The 21,387-nt window shown below is 34.2% G+C and overlaps 1 long non-coding RNA gene across 2 annotated transcripts in view; it reads right to left on the bottom strand.

Annotated features, from left to right (window-relative positions):
* LINC02699 (long intergenic non-protein coding RNA 2699) overlaps positions 1 to 17,829 on the bottom strand; it is a 470,852-nt gene extending 453,023 nt beyond the window's left edge. Inside the window, exons 1-2 of one of the 2 annotated variants that reach the window (NR_183693.1) lie at positions 17,767 to 17,829; positions 879 to 924 (exon numbers count right to left, since the gene is read on the bottom strand). This is a non-coding gene — a long non-coding RNA (long intergenic non-protein coding RNA 2699). The remainder of the gene's footprint in view (positions 1 to 878; positions 925 to 17,766) is intronic. The other variant, NR_183694.1, reaches the window with a different exon arrangement.
* Positions 17,830 to 21,387: the final 3,558 nt, after the last annotated feature.

Raw genomic sequence — 21,387 nt, 5'->3', positions numbered from 1 at the left:
CTTACATCATATACAGTTTTGAAAGACAGAATGCTTTGTTCATTCAATGAGGAACAAGGCAAAAGTGTCCAAGCCTCCATTCCAATGGTCATTCCGTTTTTCAGGTCAACTTTCTCTCTAAAGTTATCAGCTTATTCAAAAATGTACAAACAGTAGACAAAACTTAAAGGTAAAACTTATTTGCTTCACCTTCCCATGAATTAAACCAGAAAACAATATTGTAATGAATACATGCAGAGGCACAGGATAGTAGAGTTTTCTAGCCTTAAATATAAGTGTTCAGGTTATGACTTTGATTTGAAGACTGTAATTTACTTCTCCATCTTAAATATGATGTTACTGTATTTTTCTGTGTCTACAAATTTCAAAACTATGTAATGGATAAAATACAAATTCATTAGGACACTTTCATAAAACTTTACTTCCAGAGAATGCAGGCGTGCCCCCTAGTATTAAAGAAGGTATAGAGAAAGTGGCATACATTTTTAATGTTAATGTCTAAAAAAAAATCTAGATTATCCTGCAATGCCTTACACTTCGAAACTTGTACTGAAGAATTTACTACATGATTCCATAGATTCAATAATTGGACTAATTACATAACTAGTTTTCTTAGTAGGTTGCTGGTTTTGTTAGTTTAGTTGATTCATTTTGGACCATAGAAACTATTTTACCACAAGTTTTAATGCATGATTTTCATGGACATGGTGCTATCGTGAAGAGGTATTTCTGAAAATGGAGGACTTCCATTAAGGAAGTACATCTGTAAGGAGAACACGAGCTCTGGAAACAGAAAACTGAGGTTTGGCTTAAAAGTCTACTTATTTCTTCCTGAATAAATTAAAAACCTGCTTTAAAAAATAAGTTTTAACACTTACCACTGCTATTCAACAGAATACCGCAAGTTCTAGCCAGCACATTAAGCTAAAAAATGAAATAAAATGGTTACTGATTGAACAGGAACAAATAAAAGTGTACCTATCTGTGGAGGGATAACTGACTATGTAGACAGTCTCAATAAATCAACAAAAGCATTGTAGAATTGACAAGTGAGTTCAATAAAGATGTAGGATAAAAGATAAACATACACATATAAGTCGTATTCCTAGATAAAAGCACTAAATATATGGTCACCAAGTTATTTATCGTAAAAATATAGTATCATGTATATATTCCAAAAATAATGTACAGTGAAATAACTAGTTGTTGATCTAACAATTACTTGGACTTGTGTGCTGAATACTGCATAATGCTGATGAAAGTATCTAAATAAATAGAAAAATATACAGTGTTATAGAATGGAAGCCTCGACATTATAAAGACATGAATTCTCCCTAAATTAGCCTATAGGTTTAATGCAATTTCTGTCAAAATTTCCACAAATATTTTGTAGACATATAAACATTTATTTTAGGGCCAGGTGCAGTGGATCATGCCGGTAATCCCACCACGTTGGGAGGTCAAGGCAAAAGAATTGCTTGAAATTAGGATTTTGAGACTAGCTTAGACAATGTAGTGAGACCCTGTCTCTACATTTTTTTTTTAAGTTAACTGGGTTTCGGGAAGCATGCCTTTAGTTCCAGCTACTCAGGAGGCCAAGGCAGGAGGATTGCTGGAGCGTAGGAGTTTGAGGCTACAGTAACCTATGATTTCACCCCTGCGCTCTAGCCTGGGCAACAGAGCAAGATACTGATTCTATTAAAAACAAACAAGAAAAAAGAAACAAACAAAAACCTTACTGTAAAATTCATAGTAAATGAGAAAGGCTCTAGAATATCCAAAATAATTTTCAAACATGAAGTGAGAAGAATAACTTCCTAAAGTTAAGGCTAATTACGTGGATAAGTAACTAAGACTGCGTGGACTGCATGCTGCCTGAGACATATGCACAGCTGTGGAACAGAATAAAGAACTCAGATATAGAGCTCACAAATATGCTCAATTAATTTGTGCTGAAGGAACAAAAATAATTCAATAGAAGGGTGATAGTCTGGTCAATAAACTGTGTTAGAACATAGGCAAAAACAAATGAAAAAATTACCATAAATCTCATACCTTATACTAAAATTAACTCAAAATGGAGCCTAGACTTAACTAGAAAACATAGAACTGTAAAACTTCTACCACAAATAAGGAAAGTAGGAAAAAAATGTTCAGGACCTAGAAGTCGACAGTTCCCAGACTTAAACAAAAACACAACTTACACAAGTTTGATAAATTAAATCACAGTGAAAATAAAGTTATGCTTTACAAAAAGACCATATTAAGAAAAGTAAAAGACAAATTATAGACTGATAAAATATTTACAAATTATGTATCTGAAAACACTGTGTATCTAGAATATATGAAGAATTCTAGAAATCAACATTAAAAGTAAATAATCCAATTAGAAAATGATCAAAAGACATGAACAGGTATTTCCTAGAAAATAATACACAGATACAAATGAACACATGAAAAGATGTTCAATGTATTTAACTATTCAAGAAATGCAACTTAAAACCATAATGAGATATACTATAAAACCATCTGACTGGCTATAATAAAAAATAATGATGAAACATGTTAATGAGAATGCAGAGAAATGGTAGAAATGTAAAATCATTAATTCAGCTTTGAAATTACTGTGGTATTCCCTTTTAAAACCAAACATAGACTTATGTCCCAGAAATTTTGTTCTTGGATATATTATAAACATAACATGAGAGACCAATGGCCTTGAGAAGCAAAAGAGTTAATGCCTCAAGATTACTTTACTTTAACTGACTCTTTCCCCAAACAGATGCCCACAAGTTCAAGCGTCTGGCTCTTAAAAACTTCTATTATTAAGAAATACTGCGTTGCTCACTAAAAAAAGCTTTTAAGACCCAGTAAAAGAACTAACCTGCTTAGGACATGACAAAGTTGGCACATGTGCCTGTACAGGTTTAGCACAGGTTTAATCCTAAGTCTTTATTTAAAAAATAGTTTCCAGCTATAAGAAAATTTAAAACTCTCATTATACGTATATTGCCAGTAATAAGAACTTGCTTGCTGCTTCCCTGTGTATTACCCTTGCTCCTTCAAATGATAAAAGGTTTTGTTGCTACCTTGGTTCATCAGAAAACTTCAGCACAAGTATATTATATGAATCACTATCACTCTGTCTCACAAAGAAACTCAGAAAGTAAAATAAAAGTGAGAACTTCCACTAATAAGTGAAATTCTCAAAAGAGGGAATAAGGAAGGATACCACCACTTCTCCTGCTGCCCTCCTCCCCCCACCCTTGCCTAGTTTATAAGACAGGAGGAAAGGAAGAAAGCAAAAAGTTTAAAAGAAACGGAAGTAAGATAAATAGCCAGACAGCCTGCTGCCACCATCCAGCCCTGGTAGTTACAATAATAATAATAATAATAATAATAATAATAATAATAATAATATCAACCCCTGACCTAAACTACTTGTGTTATCTGTAAATTCCAGACATTGTATGAAGAAGCATGGCAAAACTTTCTGTTCTGTTAGCTGATGCATGTAGCCCCCAGTCATGTTCCCTGCGCTGACTCGATCTATCACGACCCTTTCACGTGGACCCCTTAGAGTTGTAAGCCCTTAAAAGGGCCAAGAATTTCTTTTTCAGGGAGCATGACTCTTAAGATGCAAGTCTGTCGACACTCCTGACCGAATAAAGCCTCTTCCTTTTTTAATCTGGTGTCTGAGGATTTTTCTCTGCAGCTTGTCCTGCTACAATATGTCATAAAAACTAATTTTCATACAGAATCTTATACAAAATGTTTCTAGAAACCTTGTTAATAATAACAGAAACCTGGAAACTACTCAAGTGTTTCAAAAAACAAATAAACAAATGTGATACATTTATACCATAGAATACCACTCTGCAATAAAAAAGAACAAACTATTGATGCATACAACTAGATGAACAGCAAGGAAGTTAGGCAGAGTGAAAAAATAATCCTAAAGGATAAACGTTGGATGATTCCATCTGTACACTTTTTGAGAAATAAGATAAATAAAAAAGGGAGAACGAAATGGTGAGTCCCAGGAATTAGGATTAATGAGGAGGATTGAGTAGATGTGGGTATAAAGAGATAGCAAAAGAAAGATTTTGGTGATGGTACCATTAAGTATTTTAAATTTGGTAATCATGGAGAATAAGTTTTCAGTCTTTCATTATTATGTTAGCTGTGGACTATTAATTTATAGCTTTAATTATATTTAGTTTCCTTCTATGTCTAGTTTGTTGAAGCTTATCATTTGTTTTGTTTTCTATAATTAAAAGGTGTTGAATATTGTAATATAATATACATTAATTGAGACAATCATGTACATTTTTGTCCTTCAGTCTGTTGATGTGATGTATTACATTGATTGATTTTTGTATGTTGAACTATCCTGACATTGCAGGACTAAATCCCACTTGGTCATGGTGTATAATCCATTTCATTATTATTATTTTTATTTATTTATTTTTTGAGACAGAGTCTCCAGCCTGCACTCCAGGCTGGAGTGCAGTGGCACGATCTCGGCTCACTGCAACCTCTGCTGCCTGGGTTCAAGTAATTCTTCTGCCTCAGCCTCCCGACTAGCTAGGATTACAGGTGCCTGACACCGTACCAGGCTAATTTTTATATTTTTAGTAGAGATGGGGTTTCACCATCTGGGCCAGGCTGGTCTTGAAATCCTGACCTCATGATCCACCTCCCTTGGCCTCTCAAAGTGCTGGGATTACAGGCATGAGCCACTGCGTCTGGCCTATTATTTTTCAACATAAAAGTTTACCACTATGAATCCCTCTTGGTTCTGTTTTTGCTGAATCCCATAAAATTGTGTATGTTGTATTTTTGTTCTTATTTGCTTCAGGATATTTTTTAATTCCACTTGTCATTTGTTCTTGGCCTATTGATTGTCTAAGTATGCATTCTTTAATATATACTTATTTGTGAATTTTAAAATTTTATGTTATATATATATATATATATATATATGTAATATGTGTATGTATATATATATATTTTTAATTTTTAAAATTTTTGTTTGAAACTGGGCCTCACTCACTCTGTCACCCAGGCTGGAGTCTGGTGGCATGATCATGACTTACTGCAGCCTTGAACTCTTGGGTTCAAGTGATCCTCCTGTCTTAGCCTCCTGAGTAGCAGAGATGACAGGCATGTGCCACAATACTCAGCTATTAAAAAAAATTGTAGTGATAAGGTCCTACTACGTTGCCCAGGCTGGTCTCAAACTCCTGGGCGCATACAATCTTCCTGCTTTGGCCTCCCAAAGTGCTGGGATTACAGGCGTGAGCCGCTGTGCTCAGCCTTATTTGTGACTTTTTGACTAAATTTGTTAACAGATGAATAAAACTAGAAAACAATAGCTGAATGTGTTCAACTATTGTTTTCTAGTTTTATTCAACTGTTGTAGGAAAAGATACTTGATATAATCTCAGTATTTTAAAATTTGTTAAGGCAGTGTGCTGCCAACACTTGATCCATTCTGGAGAATGTCAAAGGTACACTTGAGAAGAACATGCATCCTACTATCATCTGGGGGAGGTGCACTGTATATGTCTATTAGGGCCAATTGATTAATAGTGTTTTTAAGTTCTGTGTTTCACTATTGATTTTCTATCTGATTATTACATTCATTTTTGAAAGGTTGGCATATAGTCTCCTACTATTATTGTGTTACTGTCTGTTTCTCCTTTCAATTCTGTCAGTGTTTGCTTTATATAATTGAGGACTCTGATGTCAGGTACATATACACTTATAATGGCTACATCTTCATGGTAATTTGTCTCTTCTATATTCATACAGTATCCTTCCTTGTCTCTTGTGACAGATTTTGACTTATCATCTAATTTTCGAACATAAGCATTGCATCCTCTGCTATCATTGATTAACATTTGCATGAAATATCATTTTAGATCCTTTCACTTTCAGCATTTGTGTCTTTACACTTAAAATGTGTCTCTTTTAGAGAGTGCATAGGTGGATATTATATTTTTATGCATTGAGCCAGTCTATGGCTTTTGATTGGGAAGTTTAAATTATTTAAATTTAATGCAATTACTGCTAAAGAGCCTATTATTATAATTTTGTTAATTGTTATCAGTACATCCTAGCAATTTTTCCCACTTTTACCATTCCTCTGCCTTCTTTTTTGTTATATTAAGTTCTTTTTAATTTTTTTTGCAATGATATGTGTTGGTTCCTTTCTCATTTCCTTTTGTTTAATATTATCTCCCTAATTGACCTAATTGACATTTATAGACAACTCTGCCTCAAGTAACAGAGTATGCATAGCTTTATGTGTATTTGAAACATTTGTGGAGACAAGTTTATATTCTGAGCAATAAAACATCTCAGTAAATTTAAAAGACATGAAATCCTATAATGTCTTCTTCTATAATATTATCCTCTGATGTCATACCACAACGCAAACTAGAAAGAAATCTGCTAAAAAATCTATAAAATCCCAAAATATTTCTAAATTAAATCACACAGTTCTAAATGGTATTAAGTATAATGTATTTAGAAAATATTGTGAACCATGTAAAAATGTTTAAGTATAAAAATTTGTGGAATGCAGTTGTTTTTCACAGTCTGAATGGTTTTTGATTTTTAGTACTGAATGCTTAAATTAAAAAAAAAACTAAAATTAATGATCTATGTTTCATCATTAGGAAAGTAGAAAAGTAAAATAAAATAGGTAAGCCAAAAATATGTGGAAAATAAGCATAGAGATTAACGAAATAGAAAACAGAAAAAGCCAATAGAGTAAATTAACAAACATAGAATATAACTAAAAATATGGATAAAATCAATAAAACATTACCCAGGTTAATTATAAAAAAGAATGAAAAAGCAGAAAAAAATTGCCAACATAATAAATGAAAGATAAAAACTCCCTACAAATCCTACAGCTATTAAAGTAAGACAATATTATGAACACCCTTACGCCAAGACATTTGACAACTTAGATAATATAAAAATATTCTTTAAAAGACAATAATAAAAATAAAACCTAGATTTCAGGCACAATAAATAACTTGAATAATCCTGTATTTATTAAATTTGTAGTAAATTAAACGTATTACAATTTGAATTTATAATAAAAATCCTTACTATATAGAAATATAGAAGTACATATGGTTTCACTATCTTATTCTACCATATGTTTCAGGAATAAATTTTAACAAATCCACACAAAGTTCACAATTTCCATTTGTCTCTATTTAAGGGATTTTATTTTGCAACTACAATTTCATAGTTGTGGCATCATTTACTTTATTTTTTTCCTTTACTACTCTAAACATAATATAGTTTCTTGGAAGTCTTTGCCTGCTTAATCATCTGGGCTCACTGAGAATCAATACCTGTTTACTGTATTTTTTTTTCATTTTCTGAGTATATGTCACAAGTTTTGTTTGTATGCATCATGTATTTTTTTTGAAAACTGAACATTTATAATGTAGAAACTATGTGTTCTGATTTTCATTACTTAGGATTTTTTGTTTGTATGTTGTATTTTGTTTTCTTTGCTTATTATGTAGTAACTAGACTAGATTCAAACTGAAGACTCATCCACCCTTGCAGTGTATAGATGTTGATCTCACCATATTTTAAAACTTTTTTTAACATTTATTTATTATGGATACAAATAGTTGTATACATTTGTGGAGTATAAATGATATTTTACTAGAAGCATACAATGTGTAATGATCAAGTTAGGATAACTGAGACATTCATAACTTCAAGCATTTAATACTTCTTTGTGTTAGAACATTTCAATTCCATTGTTTTAGTTATTTTACAATAAATTGTTAACTATAAACTCCCTAGTGTGCTGCTACCTAAAACTGGATCTTATTCCTTTTATCTAACTGTATTTTTTACCCATTAAACAGCCCTCTTTATAATACCCTCCCCCAACCCTTCCCAGCCTCTAGTAAGCATCATTCTTCTATTTCCATGAATTCATTTTTTTTCAGTTCCCACATATGAGTTAGAACAGGTGATATTTGTCTTTCTGGGCCTGGTTTATTTCACTTAACATAATGTCCTCCAGTTGCATTCATGTTATTGCAAATGACAGGATTTCATTCCTTTTTATATCTGAATAATAGCCCATTATTTACTGATACCACATTTTCTTTATCAATTCATCTGTTCATGGACACAAGTTAATATCATATCTCGGCTATTGTGAATAGTGCCACAGTAAACACTGGAGTAGAGAAATCTCTCGAATGTACTGATTTTCTTTTTCTTGGATACCCAGCAGTGGGTCTGCTTTATCATATGATAATTTTATTTTTAGTTTTTTGAGGAATCTTCATACTGTTCTCCATAGCGGATCTAGTAATTTACATTCCCAAATACAGTTCTTTTTTGTTCTTAATTATTTTAGCTTTGTTTCTTCCAATTAACTGTCCCTGTGAGATTGAATGATTAGCATGGAGGCTGAGCTCAAACACTGTAAGTTCATAAGACTATTACCCTATTCCTCTGCAGGATGGTTGGGGGACACACTTAGTGTTCAGTTGTTTCTCAAATTTCTCCTCACTTTCACTTTCATATGGACACTCAGATCTCATTATAAGTTTATTTTCCTAGTAATCAGAAATATAAGGTGAACTTATCTATCTTTTAAATACTTCTCTCATTTTTCAGAAATTCTCCATTAAGTTTTTGGCTGGTCTTGCTCTTATGGAAATACAACTTCAGGGTAATATTCATTTTCTGTAGGGTTTGCAACTTTTATTTACCATGTCATAGATTTTCATCCTCTAAGCCTCTGCCTCAAATCGTGCCATTTGGCAAAAAAGCTTTCAGGCCAACCACGTAGGTCATGCTCTTTGATAACAGTATGTTCAGAAAAGAGAATATAATACTGTAGGCTGGCTACAGAGTTTTTAAAACTAGTTTTTTTGTTTTTGTTTTTGTTTTTGAGACAGAGTCTTGCTCTGTTGCCCAGGCTGGAGTGCAGTGGCATGATCTTGGCTCACGCAAGCTCCGCCTCCCAGGTTCACGCCATTCTCCTGCCTCAGCCTCCCAAGTAGCTGGGACTACAGGCGCCCGCCACCACCCCTGGCTAATTATTTTTTTTTTAATTTTAGTAGGGAGGGGGTTTCACCGTGTTAGCCAGGATGGTCTTGATCTCCTCCCTCGTGATCCGCCTGCCTCAGCCTCCCAAAGTGCTGGGATTACAGGCGTGGGCTACTGTGCCCAGCCTGAGATATAGACCAATGGAACAGAACAGAGCCCTCAGAAATAATGCCGCATATCTACAACTACCTGATCTTTGACAAACCTGACAAAAACAATAAATGGGGAAAGGACTCCCTATTTAATAAAGGGTCCTGGGAAAACTGGCTAGCCATATGTAGAAAGCTGAAACTGGATCCCTTCCTTATACCTTATACAAAAATTAATTTAAGGTGGATTGAAGACTTAAATGTTAGACCTAAAACCATAAAAACTCTAGAAGAAAACCTAGGCAATACCATTCAGGACATAGGCATGGGCAAGGACTTCTTGACTAAAACACCAAAAGCAATGGCAACAAAAGCCAAAATTGACAAACTGGATCTAATTAAACTAAAGAGCTTCTGCACAGCAAAACAAACTACCATCAGAGTGAACAGGTAACCTACAGAATGGGAGAAAATTTTTGCAATCTACTCATCTGACAAAGGGCTAATATCCAGAATCTACAATGAACTCAAATAAATTTACAAGAAAAAACAACCGCATCAAAGAGTGGGTGAAGGATATGAACAAACACTTCTCAAAAGAAGACATTTATGCAGCCAAAAGACACATGAAAAAATGCTCATCATCACTGGCTATCAGATAAATGCAAATCAAAACCACAATGAGATACCATCTCACACCAGTTAGAATGGCAATCATTAAAAAGTCAGGAAACAACAGGTGCTGGAGAGGATGTGGAGAAATAGGAACACTTTTACATTGCTGGTGGGACTGTAAACTAGTTCAACCATTGTGGAAGTCAGCGTGGTGATTCCTCAGGGATCTAGAACTAGAAATACCATTTGATCCAGCCATCCCATTACTGGGTATGTACCCAAAGGATTATAAAACATGCTGCTATAAAGACACATGCACATGTGTGTTTATTGCGGCACTATTCACAATACCAAAGACTTGGAACCAAGCCAAATGTCCAACAATGATAGACTGGATTAAGAAAATGTGGCACATATAAAGGACCCCTGTCTGTCCGCAAGCCAGAATGCTGGCTGTGAGCCACCAAGATGACACTCAAGTTGATCCCCAGAGAGTAATAGAGCTTTTGCTGTATTATCTGAACAAGATGCCAGACCAAGGAAAGGGGAGGGGAGGTCTTATCAGTGGCAGCTCAGCAGGCTGGGCTATTGAAAAAAAAAAATGTAGCACATATACACCATGGAATACTATGCAGCCATAAAAAAGATGAGTTCATGTCCTTCGTAGGGACATGAATGAAGCTGGAAACCGTCATTCTCAGCAAACTATTCCAAGGACAAAAAACCAAACACTGCATGTTCTCACTCACAGGTGGGAACTGAACAGTGAGAACACATGGACACAGGAAGGGGAACATCACACACCCGGGCCTGTTGTGGGGTCGGGGGAGCGGGGAGGGATAGCATTAGGAGATACACCGAAAGTTAAATGAGGAGTTAAGGGGTGCAGGACACCAACATGGCACATGTATACATATGTAACAAACCTGCACATTGTGCACATGTACCCTAAAACTTAAAGTATAATAATAAAAAAAAACACAGGAGAACTTGCACTAATTAGAGTTCTCTGAAAAACTTCAATTCCACATATTGGATTCATCACAAAGTAATATTAATTTTATTGTCTAGAAAGCTTTTAGTTCATGGTGATAATGATGATGCTGAACTTTGCTTCTGAGCTGATTGTTCTCACATCCATTTTACATTTGGTTAAAAAGTTAAGATTTCTATATCATTTAAAAATTTCCCCCAGATAATCATTTGCTTCCTATGGCATTTGGTTTATTAATCAAGCTGACTTAGAAAATGCTAGACAGTACTAATACTTTGAATAATGAAACACATTATTTAGAAAATTTAATATGTGTGCATTGTTTGAAATTGCGTTCTTATAAAAAGCCACAACAGAAATGTTTTAAGTTAATAGTATGTGCAATATATTGTGCTATAAGTTTTATAATATACATAGTTGTACAAAACATAGTCCCTGCAGTCTTGAACTTATGTTCCACATACACAGAACAAAGGGATTCTACTGCCAAGAGAAATGCTTTGTTTTATCTCAATCTGTAACTACATGCGATTTAAAATGTTTAAGTTGTTAAATATAAGACTGCATCTCCCTCTTTTCTGGCTTCTGAAATTTTAACATGGTGTTAAAGTTAAATTTACTTGTACAAAATTACTTATAAACTTTAATCATATGACTAGAATGTAAAATACAAATGAGTAATCTATTACAATACCAAACTAATAAAAAGTCTATTATAAACAAAGAATAGAGAATATAAATTCTTGCATTTTTTAAATCTTCATCTTTAGCAGTTTTTTATGAATAGGTGCTTTTCCAACTATTCCCTTCACTTGTTTGCCTCCCAGATACCTACTATGATTGTTTGGGACAATTATGTCCTATTTCTTATTAAGAAAACTCTTCTAATAATATTTTATTTTTAATAGCTCCCTCTTTTGCTAAATCTTTACTCCATTTTATCCCCCAAACCAGGGGTATCCAACTTAGGTGATGTTTCATAGGGGATATGTAAAGCAAGCTATTATACACAGATAAAGAATATATCCAAGTTTCTATAAATGCTTACTTATAGAAAAGAATAATAAATTAAGCTTGCTGATAATTAGCATATCAATTGATGCTTATTCTCTTTTTCAGCAAGACATGTCATGTTTCAAGGATGGTCATGTGAGAGATCACAATTATTATTCATAGTTTGAAACCCTTTGAAATATGCGTATTCCCTATCAAAATAATTATGATGAATCTTATCTAGATTAACCAAAGAACAAAATATAAATGTGTCTTAAAATGTTACTCTGATTTTCTGTAATCAATAATTGAAGGTAATATTTGTAATGGAAGCACAATAACTAAATTACATTGCTAACATGTTTTATCATTACTTTTATGAACTTATCTTCAGTCATCTGTCAAGATAAGAGAGTTGAATTAGAACTGACAAGCAAGCAAAATGACAATTAAAATGTGTATATTAAGTAATAATTGATGGTATTTGTATCTTTTAAAAGGTATCTTAAAATACATATAATTCTTGTTATTTTTCAGAGATTATTATTATTTTTCAGAGACAAATCTCTGGCCTAGACTGGAGTGCAAAGCCACAATCACAGCTCACTGCAGCCTCAACTTCCTGGGCTCAAGCGGTCCTTCTGTTTCAGCCTGCTGATTAGCTAGGAGTACAGGCTCATACCACCAAGCCAAGCTGATTTGTTTTTTTTAAAGATGGGGTCTCACTATGTTGCCCAGGCTGGTCTTGAATGCCTGGCCTTAAGTGGTTCTCCCAGCTCAACCTCCCAAAGGGCTAGGGTTACAGGTATGAGTCACTGTGCCTGCCCTCAATATGTATATATATTATATATATGATTTTTTATATATAATATGTACACACATATATATACCACATTATATATATAAAACATTATATAATAAATGTGTATATGTATATATATGATGTGTGTGTGTGTGTATGTGTGTATATATATATGTATGTATGTATATACTGGTCTGATCTGCCCAAATATTTTTGCTTATTGGCTTTCAACATAATAGTGTATTTATATTGGTTAATATTTACTAAGTGCGTACTACATGCTAGAGATGTTTATTTCATTTTCGTGAAAAATCTCATTTTAACGTCATCACTATCTTATAGCGTAAATAATATTGCTTACAGGTTTCAAATGAACTGACTTATAGAAAGACAAAGGGAGGTGGTGATTTGCTGTTGTTTTTCTGTTAGATGTCTCTTTAGGGCATATGCTGAAATAGGTTACACTGCATCCTCTCTGCGGTTTAACCCCAGTAAAAAGCTATTTTTAAGAAAATGAAATGATGACTACATAAGGAACTTTCTCAAGGCCATGGATTTATTACTGGCAAGCTCCAACTCAAGTCTGCCTTCCTCTAAAAATTGTGATCTTTCTAATATTGAAGATCTCTGTGGCACTGGAGATTAGGTTTCCAAATACTGTAAAACAAAGCCCTGGTCTTTGGATGCTGCTGAGGGGGATCTAAGGGAATTGAACTAGATGTGCACTGATCAAAGAACATAGAAAGTCCTTGTTTTGGGAATGCCTGTTAGAAGTGCGTCTCTCGTGATTCTTCGCAGACCTACCAGTCAAGGACAATAAACTCTTCTTAATGGATATGCTTTGGAATATAAAAATGGGAGAGAGGCAGGAGAAGGAGGAAGATGGGAGACTGGAAGAGGGTGCGGAGAGAGATAAAAAGAGGAACAAATGAAATGTATCAAACAGCTTTTTTCTATTTAAAAAAATAATAATAAAAGCATCTTCAGGACCAGCCTGGCCAACATGGCCAAACCCCGTCTCTACTAAAAATACAAAAATTAGCCTGGCGTGGTGGCTGGTTCCTCTAATCCTAGCTATATGGGAGGCTGAGGCAGAAGAATCACTTGAACTGGGGAGGCAGAGGTCGCAGTGAGCAGAGATTGTGCCACTGCACTACAATACAGCCTGGGCAACAGAGCAAGACTGTCAAAACAAAAGAAAACAAAAGGCACTTTTCTCTCTCTCTCTCTTTCTCTCTCTCTCTCTCTCTCTCTCTCTCATAAGTTGTATGTTTGTGTTTCTCCAAAATTTATATGTTGAAACCTCAACAACACCCAATGGGGTGGTATTAGGAGGTGGTGTCTTTGGGAGGTAATTAGGTAATGTGGGTAGATTTTCATGATGGTACCTGTGTCCTAGTAAAAGCTTGCATCCTCTCTCTAATATGTAAGAATACATTGCAGACAGCTGTCTGCAAACCAGCAAGAGTGCTCTCACCAAACAACAGATTTACCTGGGTCTAGATCTTGGATTCCCTAGCCTCTAGATTGATTAAAAATAATAGTTCATTTATTATTTAAGCTACCTAGTCTATCTAGTCTATGGTATCTTGTAATAGCGGCAGAAGCAGAAACTAAGTTACTATCTTCCTCTCTCCCACTCACATTTAAAAATAATTCATTTAAAAAATCAAGTTGTTTTAAAACTAACACATATCAATCAATCTTGATACAAACATGAATGTTTTATCACTTTATAAAGAGACACTGCCATATATAAGAACCCTGAGTATTTGTGTAGAGGTGGCTTATATACTTATTCATAATTATTATATTTAAACCAGTATAGTTCTTGAAAACATAGGCTTTACATTCTGCTTCAATTTGAAGCAAAGAGTGTCTTTGCTGAACAAATGAAAATTTCATCTTATGTTCCTTCTTTCACACATTAGATTAAGCAATATATTGTAACTTGGAAATAACAGATATAGATGTATTTAGATATAGTGCATGATTGATAGAGGGACTACTTTTTATATTAAAGGAAGCAAAAAGCAAAAGTGTGAAGTTTGAGAACTGAACAAAAGAGTACTATGAAAGGCTAGGCACAGGTCTTCAAAACATTTATATTGTCTTGATGAGTTAAAAATTTATCCTGATTAGAAAAAAAAGGAAATTCAAATCTTATTACAATGAATGTTATTTTAGTTTTAATTTTTATTTTGCAGTTTTGCAGTTTATTATGCAGTTTGACCAGAAAACCATATATAATTTCAGCTGCTTCCGTATGCAGCTTTCCCATTTAATTATACAGAAGACCTAGGGAGGAGCACAGCTGGGTCTGTAAATTATGAAATGGAATGAGCCACAAATGCATCTTTACTAAAATGATTACACATCCTCTCTCTTACATGCAAATATCCACCAATACCCCAGAATAATCAGTTTATTTCTATTCTTTTTGAAGACAATCTGCCATCTGCCAAAATGTGATAATTTAGCAACAAAAGCATGCATGATAACACCAAAACTATATAGATAAGTAAATCTTTCTAATTACTTACCTCTTTGCATGAGAAAGAACCTACAATCCATGATGGAAATGATTGCTATACTGGTGTCTTGCCAAATGATCAGCAAAACTTCATTGTAGTAGGGAAAGAAAAGGCTTTGATCTAGAATTCAGTCCCAAGTTTACCAAACACTAGCTGTAAAAATTAGTTTAACTTAATAAACATACAGGTTTTTAAACTCTGTATTATAAAGGATAGTAAAATTAAATACTAATAACAAAAACTGAGATTGCCAATGGTAAAATTGGACATTAAAACAAATAAAAAACAAATCCAACTACTAACTTTTACATTCTAACACCCAAAACACAAAAAGTTACAATATCAAAATAAATGAGCATTTTTTAAATAAAGAAATATAAATTGAAAAAGTCTCTATTTTGTCCTTGTTTTCTCATTCTTACAGGTTATTTTTCTGTATCTTTAGACTGTTGAAATCATTATCACAAACTATTTGGAGGTTGGTTCTTGAGAACACGAACAACATTTCTTAGTCTCTTTCTTCTTGGTGAAAATGAAGATAATGATGTGTATGTAACACATCTGAGAAATACAGAGTAGGTACAAAACAAATGTGTGTTAGTTTATAAACCATTTCTTCGGAGAACATAATATAGTGAAAAGATTGAAAAGTCAGCCCACTGGAGGTTCAAATTCCTTTACCACTTTTTAACTACATCAACATGGCAAAGTTACTTTATTTCACTGATGCTCTGATATTTTTTCTGTACAGCAGATATACCAGTTCCCATTTTAAGATGTTGAAAGTAGATAAAAATATACAAAAAATTCTAACAAAATATATTGCTCATAGTAGATGCTTAAATTTTCTTTGACCCATTTCACTTCTTTTCCCAGCCTTTCTCCTCTTCAAAATTTCTATATTTTAACATTACATTTTGAGTCCTATAACAGTGGAAACAACAATATATGTTTTTTTTTAAATTTTGCAATTTCTGTTATCAATATGTTGACTAAAACACAACTATCAGATCATCAGAACAGACCATGTAACCTACCATTTGGAAATGTTTTATGATTGTACATGCACATTTTTTTGTTTTCACTGTAAACATTCCATTTGGAAATTACATGTTGAATTAAATTTGTACTAAGAAGGGCATGTACCAAGGAGGCCTGTAACTGAAAATAGCATCTTATTTAAAAACAACAACTACAACAACAAAAACACCTTTAAATGAGCTACATCATTTCTTGTGTTTCTGTTTGTTTTTTTTTTTTTTACAGTGACTTAATTGTCTGGTATTTAAAAAAGAAGAAAAAAGTAAGTAAAGACAATAGAGGGTTTAGGTTTTGAAGCGATTCATTTCAAGTCCTGTTTGAGTTTGTATGTAAGCCCACTGTCTATGTTATTTTGGTACTATATTGCAAAACAGGCTCATTAAATTAAGCCTTTTGTGTTCTGTAAAACTCTTAAAAAACACAGCAAAATGAAAACAAATGAATAATTGGGGAACAGAAACTCTGTCAACTAGAAAGACCCATGATAGAACAATGTCTAGGCCCTTTATTCATTTAATTAAGAGAGATGAGGCTAAAAGCTGAAATTAAACATTTATTCCCCATAATATTCTCAAGGGTAAAAATATTGCAATTAAGTTCTAGGTTGCTTATAAACAAATACATTTTGGGACAATTTATCTGTGATATGGCCACCATTTGTTTCACATATGAAGCAAATTCATTCACTCAAAATGGTGCTTTAGTACAACTTGGCTGTTCAGAAAGCTTCAGATATTGGAAGAAAATGGATAGAAACAGAAGTCACGAAAGGAAAATAAGATTCTGAATCAATACAATAAATATGAGGCCATTTGGTGAAGCCAATAATAAGTGTTTAGACTAGAAAATAGTACATGAGGGTCCCCATACTGATTCTCCATTAACTAACCAGGTTACTCCAGGCAAGCTACCCTCCCATTTTCCTCATATCTGCAAACAAATTATTAATTTTTTGAGATATGCATTCCTTCTGAATTTACATATATGTAGTACTATATGATAAATATTATTAACCATCTTGGTAAGAGCTAAAGGGAATACCTGTACAATGATTTATATAGCCTACATTTTCAGATTTCTTATAATCTAAAGCCAAAAAAAATAAATTTTTAGGAGTAGTTAACATTCTCATTCTAAGAAGTTACAGCACTTCTTAGCGGATATAATGGTCTAGATCCAATTTTCATGAGGATCGACTATAATCTTTAAACATATTGTAAGATATCACTGGAGGAGAACCGCAACGAGTGACAAAAGGAGTGCAAGTGGTTACAGACCGAAGCATTGGAGGAAGAGCACAGTGCAAGGCATATTTTGGCCTTACCATATAATAAAGCACCCATTTCACTAAAATAGTTTATAAATATTCTATCTTTACCCACTTGGCTTTACATACCAAATACATACATACAAGCATAAATTGTGGGTTTGGTTAAAATCACCACAATAAAGCTAACTTTGCAATAAACTGAGAGTATTAGTCCATTCTCACACTGCTATGAAGAAAAACCGGAGACTGCGTAATTTATAAAGGAAAGAGTCGTGACTCACAGTTTCACATTACTGAGGAGGAGTCAGGAAACTTACAGTCATGGCAGAAGGCAAAGGAGAAGCAAGCAGTTCTCGACAAGGTGGCAGGACGAAATGAGTGAAAGCAGGGAAAATGCGCAATGCTTATAAAACCATCAGATCTCATGAGAACTCACTCACTATCGCGAGAACAGCATGGAGGAAAACATCCCCTTGATCCAATTACCTCCACCTGGTCCCACCCTTGACACATGTGGATTATGGAGATTACAATTGGAGGTGAGATTTGGGTGGGAAAACAGAGCAAAACCCGTATCAGTTATCAAAACCGTATCACTATTCTTTTGCTTTCACAATGCATATAAACGATACACTTACACTATACTGTAGTATGTTACGTGTGTGATAGCATTTTGTCTAAAAATGTATATACCCTAATTTTAAAAGACTTTATTGCTAGGAAATGCTAATGATCAGCTGAGCCTTCAGTCAGCAATAACTTTTTTGCTAGTGGAGGATTTTGCCTCAATGTTGCTAGCTACAAACTGATCAGAGTGGTGGTTGCTTAAGATTAGGGTGGCTGTGGCAATTTCTTAAAATAAGACAACAGTGAATTGACTCTGCATTGATTCCTCCTTTCATGAAAAATTTATTTGTAGCATGTAATGATGTTTGGTAGCGTTTTATCCACAGTAGAACTTTAAAAATTGGAGTCAATCCTCTCAAATCCTGCCAGTGTTTCATAAACTAGAATATTTATGTAATATTCTAAACTGTTTGTTGTTATTTCAACAATGTTCACGGCATTGTCACCAGAAGGAGATTCCATTTCAAGAGACCATTTTCTTTGCTCACCCATAAAATTCAATGCCTTGTCTGTTCAAGTTTTATCTGGAGTGCAGCGATTCAGTCATGTCTTCAGGTTCCACTTCTCATTCTATTCTTCTTACTGTTTCTAACACATATGCATTTACTCCCTCCACTGAAGTCCTGAACCCCTCAAAGTTACTCATGAATATTAGAATCAATTTCTTCCAAAACCTGTTATCATTAATATTTTCACCTTCTCCCATGACCCATGAATGTTCTTAATCACATCTAGAATGATGCATCCTTTCCAGAAGTGTTAATTACACTTTGCCTGGATTCATCACTGGAATCATTATTTATGATGGCTATAGAATTATGAAATACATTCTTAAATAGTAAGACTTGAAGATGAAAATTACTATTTGATTCAGAATGCAAAACAGATGTTGTGTCAGCAGCCAGGAAAAGGACATTAATCTCCTTGTGCATCTTCATCAGAGCTTTTAGGCAATGAGGTACAGGGTCAATAAGCATTAATACTGTGAAAGGGCTCTTTTTTTCTGAGAAGTAGGTCTCCAGGCCGGGCGCAGTGGCTCAAGTCTGTAATCCCAGCACTTTGGGAGGCCGAGGCGGGCGGATCACGAGGTCAGGAGATCGAGACCATCCTGGCTAACATGGTGAAACCCCGTCTCTACCAAAAATACAAAAAAATTAGCCGGGCGTGGTGGCTGACGCCTGTAGTCCCAGCTATTCGGGAGACTGAGGCAGGAGAATGGCGTGAACCCGGGAGGTGGAGCTTGCAGTGAGCCGAGATGGCGCCACTGCACTCCAGCCTGGGCCACAGAGCGAGGCTCCGTCTCAAAGAAAAAAAAAAAAAAAGAAGTAGGTCTCCACAGTGGAGTTAAAATATTCAGTAAACCACGCTGTAAAAAGAAGTACTGTCTTCCAGGCATTGTTATTTCATTTACAGAGCTAAGCAGAATGCACTTAGCACACTGATAAAAAATATTTAAAAAGAAAGTCATATGATCATTTCAAAAGTTGAAGAAAAATCACTAGTAAGTTGAAGAGAAGAGACTTAACTCCAGGATCGTTGGTCTTAATTATGTGACTCCAGACAGTTGGAAGAACAATTTATATTAGACAAGATCTGGTATGGGAATGTGTATGCATTGTCCACATTGAACGGTGAGTAATTAATGGTCTAGTATGAAAAACACAATATCCCTTGCAATAAATATTGTTTTAAATACATCTGAGTAAATTAATAAAAACATGGGATAAATTGAAATGTTCTTAAAAGGCCCATACTGGCTGGGAGTGGTGGCTGATGCCTGTAATCCCAGAACTTTGGGAGGCCGAGGTTGGTGGATCACCTGAGGTCAGGAGTTTGAGACCAGCCTGGCCAACAAGCTAAAACCCCATCTCTACTAAAAATACAAATAATTAGCCAGGCGTGGTGGCGGGTGCCTGCAATCCTAGCTACTCTGGAGGCTGAGGCAGGAGAATCCCTTGAACCCAGGAGGTGGAGTTTGCAGTGAGCCGAGATCATGCCATTGCCATTGCACTCCAGCCTGGGCAACAAGAGCCAGACTACAAAAAAAAAAAAAAAAAAAAAAAAGAGAGAGAGAAAAAAAGCCCCATAGTGAGATTGAAAACAAAGAACAAAGATCAGGGTGATGGGAAAAAGGTTGCATTAACTGTAACCAAAGTATCTATTACTAACATGATTCTTCCCACCCCATACAGATATAGTTCTTCCTTTTGAATTTTTAAATATTGGAATCTAATATGTTGAGACTTTTTAAAGCATAATGGATTTGGTTAGTAATGAGTTTCTCATATGTACTCGAAGCAAAGAACAAGAGAAAATAGTAATATACAGTGGGAGAACTTTCTTTAAAATCATTGGGTGATTCTAATGTCTAGTAATATATAATGATATTGTGGCCCCTTTCCACACATATCTAAAAGGAAATAAAATCCCACAAAAGTTTAATTAACACTTCTGTGGCTTTTTGAAGTCTTTAGATGAAAGGTACTAACAGAGTATGAAGTATTATAATTAATATCCTAAAATAGAGATTTTGATTTGTTTTTCAATAGTTAAGTAGATATTCAAGATTTGCAAGTATATAATACTGCACATCAGGTGGGTTGATTACTATCAGGCATGAAGAGCTAGTTTGACTAAAATTGGTCAATTGACTCAGAATTTATTTACTAATGCCTTTTATAAAAAATTGTGAAAATCTCAAAATATCTTTTTATGCTTAGGGACAAATAAAATGCTATTTAATGAGTCTGTCTCGGTGTTCTAATTGATTTATATTGAAATAACAAAAATAAAAGTGAATGAGGAAGGGGTATACTGGTTGTTTTGAATCAGAGTGTACTCTCCACAAATAAGAAAAAATAAATTAAAACAGTGGTTAGAATATAGACATTATTAAATAATTTTTTCAATGATCCTGGATAGTTATGTGAAGGCAATGCTTCATCAGTGTAAAGATTTTGTAAAATATAATACTTATATTTCAACAAAAACTATTGGAAACTTTTAGTGAGCACTCTACTAGATACTGAAAGGGATACACATATTTAAATGAAACTGCACTATTTTACGTTGGAAAAGGAGGATAATTTACTACCTAAAGACTATGGCTATTTTTATCTAACAGTAGCTGTACAAACTTAATGGTATATCATTATATTTTTACATCGTAATTTTAAAATCTCCCCAAAATATATAACTAATACATGATATAGCTCTTTTAAAAAAGAGAACATTAAAAACAAACATTTCTCTATCAAAAAAAGGTCATTGACTTTATTCCTAATATAGACAAAAGGGACATATTTGAGGAT

Source organism: Homo sapiens, chromosome 11 (genome assembly GCF_000001405.40).
Source record: "Homo sapiens chromosome 11, GRCh38.p14 Primary Assembly".
Lineage (NCBI taxonomy): Eukaryota > Metazoa > Chordata > Mammalia > Primates > Hominidae > Homo > Homo sapiens.
This window is presented reverse-complemented; position numbering and strand designations above follow the sequence as displayed.